This window comes from Homo sapiens, chromosome 6 (genome assembly GCF_000001405.40).
Source record: "Homo sapiens chromosome 6, GRCh38.p14 Primary Assembly".
NCBI classification, from domain to species: domain Eukaryota; kingdom Metazoa; phylum Chordata; class Mammalia; order Primates; family Hominidae; genus Homo; species Homo sapiens.
Genome location: NC_000006.12, coordinates 30,900,188 through 30,914,119, shown reverse-complemented (window position 1 = coordinate 30,914,119; position 13,932 = coordinate 30,900,188). Strand labels below are relative to the sequence as shown.

The window sequence follows — 13,932 nt, the reverse complement described above, 5'->3', positions numbered from 1 at the left end:
CCCGGGACCGCACTGCTAGCTATCATAACTTTATTAAACAAGAAAAGCCCTGACGCGTAAATAAAAAACACCTGAGTTCTGATGCCCCGCCCCGCCCAGTCCCGCCCGCCGAGGTCCGTGTCCAAGTCCCGCGCTCTCAGGAGCTATGTTTCTGCCGCTTCCAAAAGCGCTTGACGTCGCTGTGCCCGGCCGGGGTCACCACCATGAGCCGCTTGGCCGAGTTCTCGAACACGAGCACGCCCAGCTCCCGCGCGTGGGCCAGCAGCAGCTCAAAGTCCACTTGCGACAGGAACTGGTTATACAGGACACCTGGGGTCGGCAGGACGGGAGGGGCGCGGGGAGAAGACGAGAAAGTGAAGCTCGGAGCTCCTATTGGGAATCCCCCCAGCTCCTTGGTGGCAGCCCTGGACGCGGTCTGGGCTTGCCCCCACCGCAATTTTACAAACTAATTCTCTATGCTTGTCTGCTCAGGGGTTCATCTTAACACCAGTGTGATCCAGCCATATTCAGAAAGGCCTAATACAAATTACTGTGAATTATTCCCTCACCTAGCCAAATCCAAAGTGCATTGATTTGGGACGATTTGTTTACTACCGACTCACCCCAAAACAACAAAAAACTGTCTTGCCAGCTTTTCTCTCCTAGTCCATGAAGTAAAAAATAAAATGCAGACTGAACTGTCTGCCCTTTCTCTGGCCAATGACCAAGACTTGGCCACCAGAAGCTACTCACCCTCAGTGAACCGGAGTCTGTCCCTTTCCAGCTCCCAGAGCCGGATCTGGTCGGTGATGGTGGGGGGCAGCACAGGTGTCTGCAAGGAGCAAGGGTTGACTGTAGGGACTCAGAATACTGCCCCAGACAACCCGGCCCTCTGTTTCTTCCCCAGATTTGGATGCCCCTTTTTCTTTTCCATCATGTCATCACCAGCTGCCAGCCTCTGACATCTTGGAGCCTGTCTATACCTGTTTGAGCATCACTGGGTGGGCTCTTGTCCTTAGGAAATGGATTATCTAGGAAAACAGACAAGAATGGCATGAGGGCTCCAGCAAGAAGGCAGGAAAGCCATCTGAGCTGTCACCTAATGTCACTGGAACATCAGCTTATTCTAAAAACTCATAACTCCTGTCATCAACTCCACCCATCCCAGTTCAGCTGTTATCCCACGTTGCTGCTCCCAGCAACGTGGGATATTCCTTTTCTGGCACATTCGCCCTTTCCAGTAATGTTTTGTTTTTCTTTCTTTAAAATAGCAGCAGCTACTATTTTCTTTTTTTAGCATTTATTGCATGACAGGTGCTGAGCTCAATGCTTTGCCCCTATTCTTCCAATGAATTATCCCGGCAACCCTGAGGTAAGAACTGTCATTTACTAGATGAGGAAACTGAGGCTCACAGAGGCAAAACAACTATGTCTAGTTTACGCAGTTAGGATGTGGCAGTGCCGAGGCACAAATCCAGATCTATACCTCCTCCCTCCATGTTTTTTTCCCCTCAAGGGTCTACCTATTCTCACACCCAAAGCCTTCATTTCTCTTCAAACACAGACAACTCACCACCACCTATTATAACAGACTCAGAGCTAGCCTTCCATAATGTGACCCCTGTCCCCCGCAGCCCAAGTGCAGCCTGTCTTCCTGCTCCACCTCTCCCAAGTGGGAATACCTGCTGGGCTGTGATGCCACTGGCGATTGCCTGCTGCACACTCTCCCGGGTCACCTGCGCCACCACCATGTTGGGGAACCGATAGAGCATCTCAGAGAAGAGGGCAATGAGGGCAATCTGCAGCTCCGACTCTGAGCCAGGGATAGAAAGAGGATGAGGAGGCCACCCCCACACCCAGACTCCCTCAAGCCCTTCTTTCAAGTGTCATGAGAAATGTCAGAGAGCTCTGTAGACTGCCAGGTAAACACGAACATAAACTGGCATTCCCTCACCCCCAACCTCCTCTTCCAGGGGCCCTCTGTCCCGCCTCACCCGTGTAGGCATACAGTCGGTAATTGGTTTCCACGACAATGAAACCTGGCTGATGCACAGTGCCCCCAGCTCCAGAGACACCTGATGAGAGATTGATGGCCAGGCGTGTGGGGTAGTAACGCCGAGATTTCCTCTGAAAAGAATAGAAAGGCAGATGCCTTGTCTCAGAAGTCACTGCCTTACATCTTCCTGCCTGAAATATCAGATCCCTCCCAAGATGCAGAACCTCAACCCCCAACTTCTCTCCCCCGAGAGACCCAAGTATTCAGTTCTGGCAACTGCTTCCTGCTACTGCCCCAAGACCCCACTCCTTTTTAAAGGCAAAGGCAACACACCACCCTGTTTCTTCCCTGGAAGCCACTTATCTAGGCGCTCATACCTTCCTCTGGAAAACAAGCCCAAACTCACGCAGATGTTGCAGGAAGTTCAACAGAGAATCACTCATACCTTCCACAGAGTAATCCTGAGGAACAGAGGTTTCCAGCTGGGGTCCAAAACACAACCCACCCACCCCCAACCCCATACATTCATTCTTTCTTTCTCCATCTCTGTTCGTTCTGTTTTCATTCTTATCTTCTCAGTCTACTCTACTGCCCCACAACTTGCTTTCCCCTTCCCATCTCTATACCTTTCAGCCCCCTGCTTACCTTGCCCAGAGTAGAGAAGCTGAGCTGGAAGAGGAAGGAGAGAATCTCTACCAGGTCCATGCCCCGGCTCTAGGGAGAAAGAGGCAGAGACAAAGGAGGAGGGATGGGAGGGAGACAATGGGAAGAAAGGGACAGAGAAGAGAAAATCAGGGAACAGTCTGTAGGCAGGAGTCTCTCAGTGAGACCTGAGAGGAGCAGAGCATGCTGGTTAAGTGGCCCTGCCTCCTCACCTGGGCTGTCTGCAAATACTGCAACATAAAGTACCAGAGCTGAGCCGGGGTGTCCAGCAACAGGAACTGGAAGCCAGCGGAAGTAATGCAGGGCGGCTCTCCAGGTTCAGTACTAGAGACAAAGACCAGGACAATGATGGTGATATGCAGAGAAAGACTACTATCCCCACTTGTCCACTCACGTTTTTTCTTGGTATCTCTGGCTATATTCTACTCAGCTTGCCTTTTCCAGCTAATGTCCTCTGATCTTGACTAGCCCCAGATACCATTTCTTAGGGACCCAAGGAGATGGCACAGCAGAGAGCTGCTGTACCTCCGGCTTCCTCACCTCTTCATGAGCCCAGCCTGGCTGAGGAGCTGAGCCAAGTCCTGGCTGACAGCTGCACTGGGGGAGCCCACCATGAAGTGCAAGACCACCTGAAGAACAGAAGAGAACAGGGAGACCATGCCCCAAGGGCCATGGGAAGTAGAAGCACAAGCAGAGACACACACACTCCCAAGTGCTTACCTCCCATCGCTCCTCGGCGTACTTGTCAAGGGAGGGAACGTCCCGGGCATGCTTGTCTGGTCCCAGCTGACTTGTGTCATCAGACCAGGCCTTCCCCCTACGGCCAGGATGGGCCAAGAGTAAGGAACCCTGGCCAGGCGCAGTGGCTCACACCTGTAATCCCTGTACTTTGGGAGGCCGAGATGGGCGGATCACTTGAGGTCAGGAGTTCAAGACCAGCCTGGCCAACATGGCGAAACCCCATCTCTACTAAAAATACAAAAAATTAGCCTGGCGTCGTGGTGGGTGCCTGTAATCCCAGCTACTCAGGAGGCTGAGGCAGGAGAATCACTTGAACCCAGGAGGTAGAGGCTGCCGTGAGTCAAGATTACACCACTGCACTCTGGCCTTGGTGACAGAGTGAGACTCTGTCTCAAAAACAAACAAAACAGAACAACAAAAAAAGAGTAAGGAACCCTGTCTGTGTTCCTTGCTGCCCTCTGCCATCTTTCCACCCTTATCCTCAGGGGCCATGAGTGGGGGACATTTCCTACACCACACACTACATCTGGTCCAACTTACTCCTAAAGGAGTTCCCAACGTGGAGACCACAAGGTTCTGGGGAGGCCCCCAGGAGCTCCCCCTCCCAAAGTTTAATTAGTGGTTTAATAAGCAGCAGTTCCCCTGCCCTAGCTTAGGAAGAGAGAGAAGTGACATACCCACCCAGAAGGGCAATGCGGAGGTTCTGGCGGAAAATGGGGTTGAGGATGAGGCCCTGGAGCCCGCCTGGGAGCAGCTGTGTGTGCCAGATCCGGAGGCCGCTCAGCAGCCCTGTACTTTCCTCCTGAGCCCTGGAACAGAAGCAGAGAGGTGAGTAGGGTATTTGGAAAACAAAAAGGAGGCCCATAAAAGCCACCATCTCTGCCTGTTCTGAACTTGCTGACCCTTGGAACACTGTTCCACAGAGTGAAATTAGTATCTTCCTAAGACAAATTCTTTACTGCATTACTTATCAGAGCCTCATTACAGATATCACACATAACTCTTTAAGAGGGAAGATACATTTGAAAGCAAGATCTCAGCTGGGAAATAAATAAAAGGGAAAAGGCAATATGCAGAGTTTCCCAAATGTATTTATTTTTAAGTTTTGTGATATATCTATTAACACTTCCTGGAAGTGCTCCAAGGAACAGCAGTTTGGGAAATGTAGCTGTTGAGAAATTTGTATCTGGCTGAGACTTACTTGCTGAATTCCTTCTTTACCCACAGAGCTACAGCAGCCTGTGGCAAAGGCTGCTCCAGAAAGAGCATCCGCATCACCCAGTTCTTAGCCAAGGATGGGAGCTCCCTGTACAGGAACAGAGGTCAAAGGTTAGTATCAGAAGCTGCATTGTATCTGCATCTCTGCCCTCAATTACCTCTCAAACATCTCATCTCACTCCAGCACAACTTTACCAGTCCTGCTGTTTTGGCCTCCACACTTTAGAGCAATTTCCAACCCTTGCCCCCAGTCCCCACCCCGACTCCAGGCTGCTACACTTTTACCTATGATATTTTATTCCACTCCGCAGACCCCATTACATTTCCCTGCCATGAAGGGGCTTCTCACCTGAAGACAGCCAGACATGTGGCAGGGTGCCCATACAATCGGTCCAATACCCCAGGGCTCAGGCCCCCTAAGAATTCCTGCAGATTCCTGCATTGTAGGTGTACTCGGTTCAGTCCCCTTGAAGGGGTGCTCTCCATCACCTGAGGAATGCAAACGTCAGAAGTGCAACCTCACCATCCATGCCAGTGTCACCCCTGACCTTTCTAACTGATTCCAGATCCATCAGTCCCCACAATAACCCCACCTTTTCTGTGGTCTCCTTTCCCATGTCACTCATCTCCTCTGGTTTCTCCCAAACCTGACCAATCTCCCTCCCTTTCTTGCCTCCTCACCCTATTTCTGCCCTTCAACTCCAGTCTTCCCTCAATTACCAAGTGACAGAATTGTTAACTGTCCAGTGTTTGCAAGATCATTTTGTATTTCAATGACTTGTCTCATCTTTGGCTAAACAGGGACAAAGAAAATTGAGCCCACACCTCTCTCTTCCATCCCATCCTGGTCAGACCAGTCTACAAGCTCCAAATCTGCCCGTCCTTCCTATCTTCTATCTCTTAGCCCACTTCTGCTAAGTACGGCGGTAACCTCTCCCCTCCATGCTTCCCAAATCTAAAGCCACCTCTTTTCCCTTCCCAAGTCTACTTCACGTCATTCACCCTGACCCACGCCTTCCGATCTCCTAGCTTCTCCCTGCCTTCCTCTCACTCTTCGCCTCCCACTCACCTCTCTCTCTCTCATACCTCTGCCACTCCCGCCCTCCTAGGTCCCCTCACCACTCTGTCGATCCTCCTCGCGCACCCCGAGTCTCGGGCCGTCGCTTAATCGGAGCCAAAGTCTCGCATTGGCTCCTGGAGATTGAGGGAAAGATGGTGAAAAAATGCGAGGAAAAGATGGGGAAAGCAAAGAAAGATTTCACAGGCAAGAGCCCAGAATGGAGAATTCAGAAGAGAAGGGAGGTAAGGGGAGGAGTGGAAAAGTGAAGAGGATGAGAATAGACGCTGCACTCTCCGGGCGCGGGGGATGCTGGGAATTGGAGTCTTGCCTTTGCTCTCCTTAGAGCCGGCTGAAGCGCGTCTGACTACAAATCCCGAAAGGCACCGTGGGGAAGCCGAAAGGAGAGGAGCTGGCTTTTAATTGAGCGAGGGGAGACACCAGAAGCTGGACCAGTTGGTTCCGCGAAGGCAGAACCAACTCCGCCCACGCTGCTAACGGCGCGTGTAACCGGCTGGAGCGGGAGGCGGGTCCGGGAAAGTAGAAGTGCCTGGAGGGCTTCCTTGCGGAGGCGCGCTCTGGCGACTTGGTGGTGAGCCGAGTGAGCACAATTACTCCCCATAAAATTGGGATAATACACACTCCAGGCCGGGCGCGGTGACTCACGCCTGTAATCCTAGCACTTTGGGAGGCCGAGGCGGCGAATCACCCGAGGTCAGGAGTTCGAGACCATCCTGGCCAACATGGTGAAACCCCCGTCTTTACTAAAAATACAAAAATTAGCCGGGCGTGGTGGTGGGCACCTGTAATCCCAGCTACTCTGGAGGCTGAGGCAGGTGAATCGCTTGAACCCTGGAGGCGGAGTTGCAGTGAGCCAGGACCATGCCATTACACGCCAGCCTGGGCGACAAGAGTGAAACTCCGTCTCAAAAAAAAAGAAAAGGAAAGAAAAGAAAGAAAGCGTACACACTCTGGGCGGTTTCCACGAGTTAACGATTAACACGATCCAGTGCACCTTACTTGACCCTAAGTACTCAGTAAATCTTAATTTCTGCCTCCACCACTCCTCAAACCGTTTACTTAGAAGACCCAGATAAATACAGTTTTTAAGACACCAACTATTTGCTCTGATTTGATTTATGAACCTACTACAAAAGTGGAGGTCTTCACCCAAACCCAGAACTACACGTTTCCCCAAATTCCTATATGCAAATTTTGTTATTCCCACCTTATAGACTGGAAGACTGGAGCCCGGCAAGATTAAGAAATTTGCCTGCAGCCTGGCGAGGTGGCTCAGAGCTGTGACCCCCAGCTACTTGGGAGGCTGAGGCAGGAGGATCGCTTGAGACTAGGAGTTTGAGGCTACAGTGAGCTATGATCGCACCAGCCTGGGTGACAGAGGGAGACCCCCATTTCTCTCTCTCTTTTTTTTTTTTTTTTGAAACGGAGTCTCTCACTCTGTCACCCAGGCTGGAGTGCAGTTGCATGATCTCAGCTCACGGCAACCTCAGCCTCCCGGGTTCAAGCGATTCTCTTACCTCAGCCTCCCAAGTAGCTGGGACTACAGGTGTGTGCCACCACGCCCGGCTAATTCTGGTATTTTTAGTAGAGATAGGGTTTCAACATGTTGGCCAGGCTAGTCTCAAACTCCTGACCTCAGGTGACCCACCTGCCTCAGCTTCCCAAAGTGTTGGGATTACAGGCATGAGCCACTGAGCCCAACCTGAGATGCCCATCTCTAAAAAAAAAAAAATTAAAAAAAAAATCCCTACAATCAGACAGGAAGTGCCCAAGCTGGGATTTGAAGCACATTTGCAAGCAACCAGGGATCAAAATGGTAATGACTATGCAAGACTTTTTATACTTTGTAGCCCACCCATGTTTTCTGTTGTCCCTGTCTTTTTAGCAATTAATGTTTTAAAATCTTCAAAGAAAAGCTAAAAATTGACAGAGCTTCTTTATGGCAAACTTTAGGTAAGGTTGAAAGACAATTTACAATCTAGGAAGAAATGGTTGATGAAATAAACAAAATACAAAAAGCTGTTACAAAGCAATAAGAAAAAGAAACATAATAGAAAGATTGGGACAGACCACTGCTTACTAGTTAGCCCTGCTCAGCAAGGAGCAGCTTAAAAAAAAAAAAAGAAGAAGAAAAGAAAAAGAAAAGAAAGAGGCCTGGCGGGGTGGCTCAGGCCTGTAATCCCAACACTTTGGGAGGCCAAAGAAGGTGGATCATTTTAGCTCAGGAGTTCCAGACCAGCCTGGGCATTATACAGAAACTCTATCGCTACAAAAACAAAACAAAACAAAAATTAGCTAGGTGTAGTGGTGTGCTCTCCTGCGGTCCCAGCTGCTCAAGAGGCTGAGGTAGAAGGATCACTTGGGCCCAGGAGATTGAGGCTGCAGTGAGCAATGATAGCACCACTGCACTCCAGCCTGAGCAACAGTGTGAGACCCTGTCCCAAAAGGAGAGGGGAAGAGAGGAGAGGACAGGGGAGAACTGGAGAGGGGAGAATTGGGGAGGGGAGAGGAAGGGAGGGTTAGGGAGGGGGAAAGAAGGAAAGAGAAAGAAAGATTGGCCAAAGCAAAAAGAAAGTTAAACAGAATATCAGAAATGTTTCAAAAATCAAAAAATTGGCTGGGCACGGTGGCTCACGCCTGTAATCCCGACACTTTGGGAGGCCGAGGTGGGTGGATCACCCGAGATCAGGAGTTCGAGACCAGCCTGGCCAACATGGTGAAACCCGTCTCTCCTAAAAATACAAAAATTAGCCGGGCGTGGTGGCAGGCGCCTATAAGCCCAGCTACTCGGGAGGCTGAGGCAGGAGAATCGCTTGAACCCGGGAGGTGGAGTTTGTAGTGAGCTGAGATCGTACCATTGCACTCCAGCCTGGGGGACAAGAGCGAGACTTTGTCTCAAAAAAAAAAAAAAAAAATTCAAAAAATTAGCCAGGCCTGGTTCTGTGGTCCCAGCTACTCAGGAGGCTGAGGCAGGAGGATTGTTTGGACCCAGGAGGTCAAGGCTACACTGAGCTGTGATCATGCCACTGCACTCCAGCCTGAGCTATACAGTGAGACCCTGTCTCAAAAAAAAAAAAAAAAAAAAAAAAGAAAAGAAAAGAAAAGAAAAGAGAAAAAGAAATTAGCTCGGTATGCACACACCTGAAGTCCTAGCTACTCAGGAGGCTGAGGTAGGAAGATCGGTTGAGTCCAGCAGTTCAAGGCTGTAGTGAGCTACAGTTACACCACTGCACTCCAGCCTGGCCGCAGAATTAGACTGTCTCTTAAAAATAAATATATAGGCCAGGCGCCATGGCTCACACCTGTAATGCCAGCACTTTGGGAGGTCAAGGTGGGTGGATCACCTGAGGTCAGGAGTTCCAGACTAGCCTGGTCAACATTTTAGTAGAAACCTTGTCTCTACTAAAAACACAAAAATTAGCTGGCATGGTGACGGGCGCCTGTAATCCCAGCTACTTGGGAGGCTGAGGCAGGAGAATCACTTGAACCCGGGAGGCAGAGGTTGCAGTGAGCTGAGACCACACCATTGCACTCCAGCCTGGGCAAGAGTGAAACTCCATCTCAAAATAAATAAATAAATAAAAATAAAAATAAATAAATCGGCCGGAGGCAGTGGCTCACACCTATAATCTCAACACTTTGGGAGGCCGAGGCGGGTGGATCACTTGAGGTCAGAAGTTCGAGACTAGCCTGAGCGGGTGAAACCCCGTCTCTACTGAAAATACAAAAATTAGCCAGACATGGTGGCGGGCGCCTGTAATCCCAGCTACTTGGGAGGCTGAGGCAGGAGAATCACTTGAACCCAGTAGGCTGAGGTTGCAGTAAGCCGAGATCACACCACTGCACTCCAGCCTGGGCAACAGAGCAAGACTCTATCTCAAAATAAATACATAAATAAAATTAAAATATAAAAGTTCAGCAAAAAAGAAATTAAGGATTGACAACCTCAATGTTGACCAGGGTATAGGAGCATACTCATACACTTTTGCTGAAAATTGAGGCCGGGTCCAGTAGCTCATGCCTGTAATCTCAGCACTTTGAAGGGAGGCCAAGCCAGGCAGATCACTTGAGCCCCGAAGTTTGAGACCAGCCTGGGCAACATGGTGAAACCCTGTCTCTACAAAAAATAAAAAAATTAGCTGGGCATGAGGGTGCATGCCTGTAGGCCCAGCTACTTGAGAGGCTGAGGCAGGAGGGTTGTTTGAGCCCTGGAGGTGGAGGTTGCAGTGAGCTGAGATCACACCATTGCACTCCAGACTGGGCAACAAAATGAGAGTCTGTCTCAAATTAAAAAAAAAAAAAAAAAAAAAAAAAAAAAAAAAAAATTGAAATAGGCACACCTCTTTTGGAGGGGGTGAGGGGACAGAGTCTTACAGTGTCACCCAGGTCAAATGCAGTGGCACAATCTTGGCTCACTGCAATCTCTGTCTCCCAGATTCAAGCGATTCTTGTGCCTCAGCCTTCCGAGTAGTTGGGATTACAGGCGTGAACCACCATGCCTGGCTAATTTTTTTTTGTATTTTTAGTACAGACAGGGTTTCACCGTGTTGGCCAGCATGTTAGTGGGCATGGTAGTTCAAAAAAGAAAATTCCTGTGATAGGGAGCTCATGACCTCCTCCTCTCAGGCAGCATCCTGGAGAGAAAGAACAGAGAGCCAGGGCCAGGCGTGGTGGCTCACACCTGTAATCCCAGCACTTTGGGAGACCGAGGAGGGTGGATCAAGACATCAGGAGTTCAAGACCAGCCTGGCCAACATGGTGAAACCCAGTCTCTACTAAAAATACAAAAATTAGCCGGGCATGGTGGCAGGTGCCTGTAATCCCAGCTACTCAGGAGGCTGAGGCAGGAGAATCGCTTCAACCCAGAAGGCGGAGGTTGCAGTGAGCGGAGATAGTGCCACTGAACTCCAGCCTGGGTGACAGAGCAAGACTTTGTCTCAAAAAAAAAAAAAAAAAAAAAAAGGAACAGAGAGCCAGGAGCCCACAGACCCACTTCCCACAGGCTTTACTGTTGACTGACTGCTACTTTGGGCAAGCTGCTTAACCTAACAGAATTTTCTTCTCTGTGCAAAGTAATTTTAACTACTTCATATATTGTTGTATTAAGTAAGATATAATATGTCGTAATTTCAATACCTGGTATATAGTGGGTGCTCAGTAATATATTATCATCATTATTGTAACTTTCACTTATTAATCCTAGTTCTAGTTCTGTAACTACATAGAATCTATGTTAGTCTATCAGATATTTGCTACAATTCTTTCTTTCAACCAATATTGAGCCCTGTGTTCCAAGATTTTGCCCTTGTGCAACTTATAGTTTGGTGGGAGGGGCAGGTATAAAAAGATATGTAAAATTACACACGTAGTAAGTGCCACAAAGAAGAGATTCATGTCCTCTGAGATTATCAGTAGGGAATTTGACCTGGTTGGGGAAGTCAGGAAAGACTGCTGAAGGACAAGCAGGAGTTAATAAGGCACAGACTGCAGGGAACATTGTTCCAGGTGAGGGAACAGCATGCCACGAAGGCCACGTGGCAGGAAGTACTGTGGCCCATTGGGTGAATCTGAAAGAAGGCCAGTGGCCCACAGAGGAAAGCAAGCGGGTGGGGGAGGACGCTGGAGAGGTATGTGGGGGCCAACCTTGGCCAGAAGGATTTTGTTCTTCATTTTAAGATTAATGAAAAGTCACTGCTGGATTTGAAATGAAGGATTAGGGTCAGATTTGTGTGTTTTAAAGATAACTGTGGTTGCAGGGTGGAAAACAACCCAGAGAGGAGCAGAGGCAGATCTGGGTGACAGCTGGGAGACCACTGCAGGAGTCCAGGCAAGATGGAGGCAGCATGTGCCAGGAGGGCGATGGAGACAGAGATGACAAGTTCCAGGGAGATTTGGGAGGCAAAATCAACAGCGTTTTGTGCTGGACTGGACTTGAGAGGTGGAAGGTAAGGGAGAAGGAGCTCGGGGATGCCACCTTGTGCGGCTTGTGCAGCTAAGTGGATGATGCTGCCATTCACTGAGTCAGTAGACTGTGGAGGAGAAGCAGGTTTGGACAAGCAGGGCCTGACTTTTAAATTAACTGCAGGTGGGGCTGGGCACGGTGGCTCACGCCTGTAATCCCAGCACCTTGGGAGGCCAAGGTGGGCGGATCACGAGGTCAGGAGTTTGAGACCAGCCTGGCCAATATGGTGAGACCCCGTCTCTACTAAAAATACAAAAAAATTAGCTGGGCATGGTGGTGCACACCTGTAATCCCAGCTATGTGGGAGGCTGAGGCAGAAGAATCGCTTGAACCCAGGAGGCGGAGGTTGCAGTGAGCTGAGATTGCGCCACGGCACTCCAGCCTGGGTGACAGAGCGAGACCAGGTCTCAAAAAAAAAAAAAAAAAAAAATTAACTCCAGGTGTTTCTGCTTGAAAGACAGCTCAGAGATTTGGGTTATCAGGCTCACTGCCGTGGCTTCCATCGCTCATTATTCTGGGATCTGGCCTCTAAACTCTAACCTATCGGTACACAACTTAAATCATAGTGCACAGTGGTTTGACCTGTGTAAGTTTTAGCAGGACTATTAGATTCGGGACCTAGGCCCCAAGGGCCTATTAATTCAACTTCACATTGATTTATCTTTACTGTGATCCTCATTATCCAATTGGCTCATTTTGTGAATATCATCAACCAAAACCCCAGGGTTTTTATTTCACATGAATGGCCATCAAGATGGGTCTGCCTTGTCCCATCCCTGCAACTGACTTTTAATTTTCTTTTTGAGACAGGGTCTTGCTCTGTCACCCAGGCTGGAGTGAAGTGATGCAATCATGGCTCACTGCAGCCTCAACCTCCTGGGCTCAAGTTATCCTCCCACCTTGGCCTCCTGAGTTGCTGGTGCACACCACTAAGCCCAGCTAGTTTTATATATATATGTATAAATGGGGGCCAGAGTGTGCTATGTTGCCTAGGCTGGTTCCAAACTCCTAGGCTCAAGAAATCCTCCTACCTCAGCTTTCCATAGTGTTGAGATTACAGGGCATGAGCCACCCCACTGGCCGATTTTTTCTTTCCAACCAAATTTGAACCCTTTAATTGTTCTCTTGGTGGTTGCAGCTCATCCTTCCAAGCCTCTGAGATAACTGAGGCTCTTGATTCTGGTTTCTGGTTCTGGTTTCCATTCCAACAACCTATCCCCTACCCCCAGTGGGGCATTTGCACACTTGATCAGCATAACCCAGGGATTCTCCCCTGGGATTTCCAGACCCTGGGGAGCCAGATGGGTTCTAGAATTTGGGCAAGAAAAAGAAATTACACCTTTTACTAACCTCTAATAGAAGTTTAGCATTTCCTCCAATTATGAATATGGGTAAAACCACCAGTAGTATTAGCAGTACCTGTGACTTGTCACTAATTGACACCACAGCTACTTTTATGTCTCACTGTGACTGTTGTAGAAATCTCAAATATGGCTTATGCTCATTAGTATTTGGAAAATGTCAGTTTATTACACCTGTTTTTAGATCTTGTTATTAAATACATGAAAAAGAAGCACATTAGTTTCATAATTTTTTAGCATTTTGGTAAACTGTTTCCATTGGTTTCCCTTATAATCCTATACATTTTATGGGTTTTGTTGTTGTTGTTGTTCTGTTTTTGAGACAGTCTCACTCTGTTGCCCAGGCTGGAGCACAGTTGTGTGATCTCAGCTCACTGCAACCCCCACCTCCCGGGTTCTAAGCAATTCTCCTGCCTCAGCCTCCTGAATAGCTGAGATTACAGGCGCATGCCACCACACCCTGCTAATTTTTGTATCTTTAGTAGAGATGGGGTTTTGCTATGTTGGCCAGGTTGGTCTCGAACTCCTGGCCTCAAGTGATCTACCCACCTCAGCCTCCCAAAGTGCTGGGATTACAGGGGTGAGCCACTATGCCTGGTCCATTTTATAGGTTTTAAAACCTAATTCTGAGGAGGACTCAGTAGACCTCTACAGACTGCCAAAGGCGTTTATGGCACAAAAAAGGTTCAGCACCCCTGGCCTGACTGCATTCCTTCCAGGCCTCCACCAGAGCACCCCTCTGAGTTGAGAAGGTTCATGCACTCAGACATTCATGCATCTCCTGAGGTCCCACAGGCAAAGGCCTGGATTATCCAGAAACAGAACACAATGCTGGGCAAAACAGGTGATGGGAAATGGAATGAGGAGGCAGGAAAAAAGGAAGATGGGAAGTGGGTTGGGAAGTGGGTTCAGAGGGAGGTGCAGGAGGCAGAGT

General features: G+C 49.1%; 1 protein-coding gene across 1 annotated transcript; it reads right to left on the bottom strand.

The window, feature by feature from the left end:
* Positions 14-5,913, bottom strand: GTF2H4 (general transcription factor IIH subunit 4). The gene is made up of 14 exons (NM_001517.5): positions 5,717-5,913; positions 4,947-5,086; positions 4,581-4,685; positions 4,057-4,188; positions 3,359-3,455; positions 3,179-3,267; positions 2,851-2,962; positions 2,621-2,689; positions 2,353-2,436; positions 1,974-2,106; positions 1,662-1,792; positions 963-1,010; positions 733-811; positions 14-309 (listed from the first exon to the last, which is right to left on the bottom strand). The coding sequence occupies exons 2-14, from the start codon at positions 5,081-5,083 to the stop codon at positions 137-139; spliced, it is 1,389 nt and encodes a 462-aa protein (NP_001508.1). The 5' UTR covers positions 5,084-5,086; positions 5,717-5,913; the 3' UTR covers positions 14-136.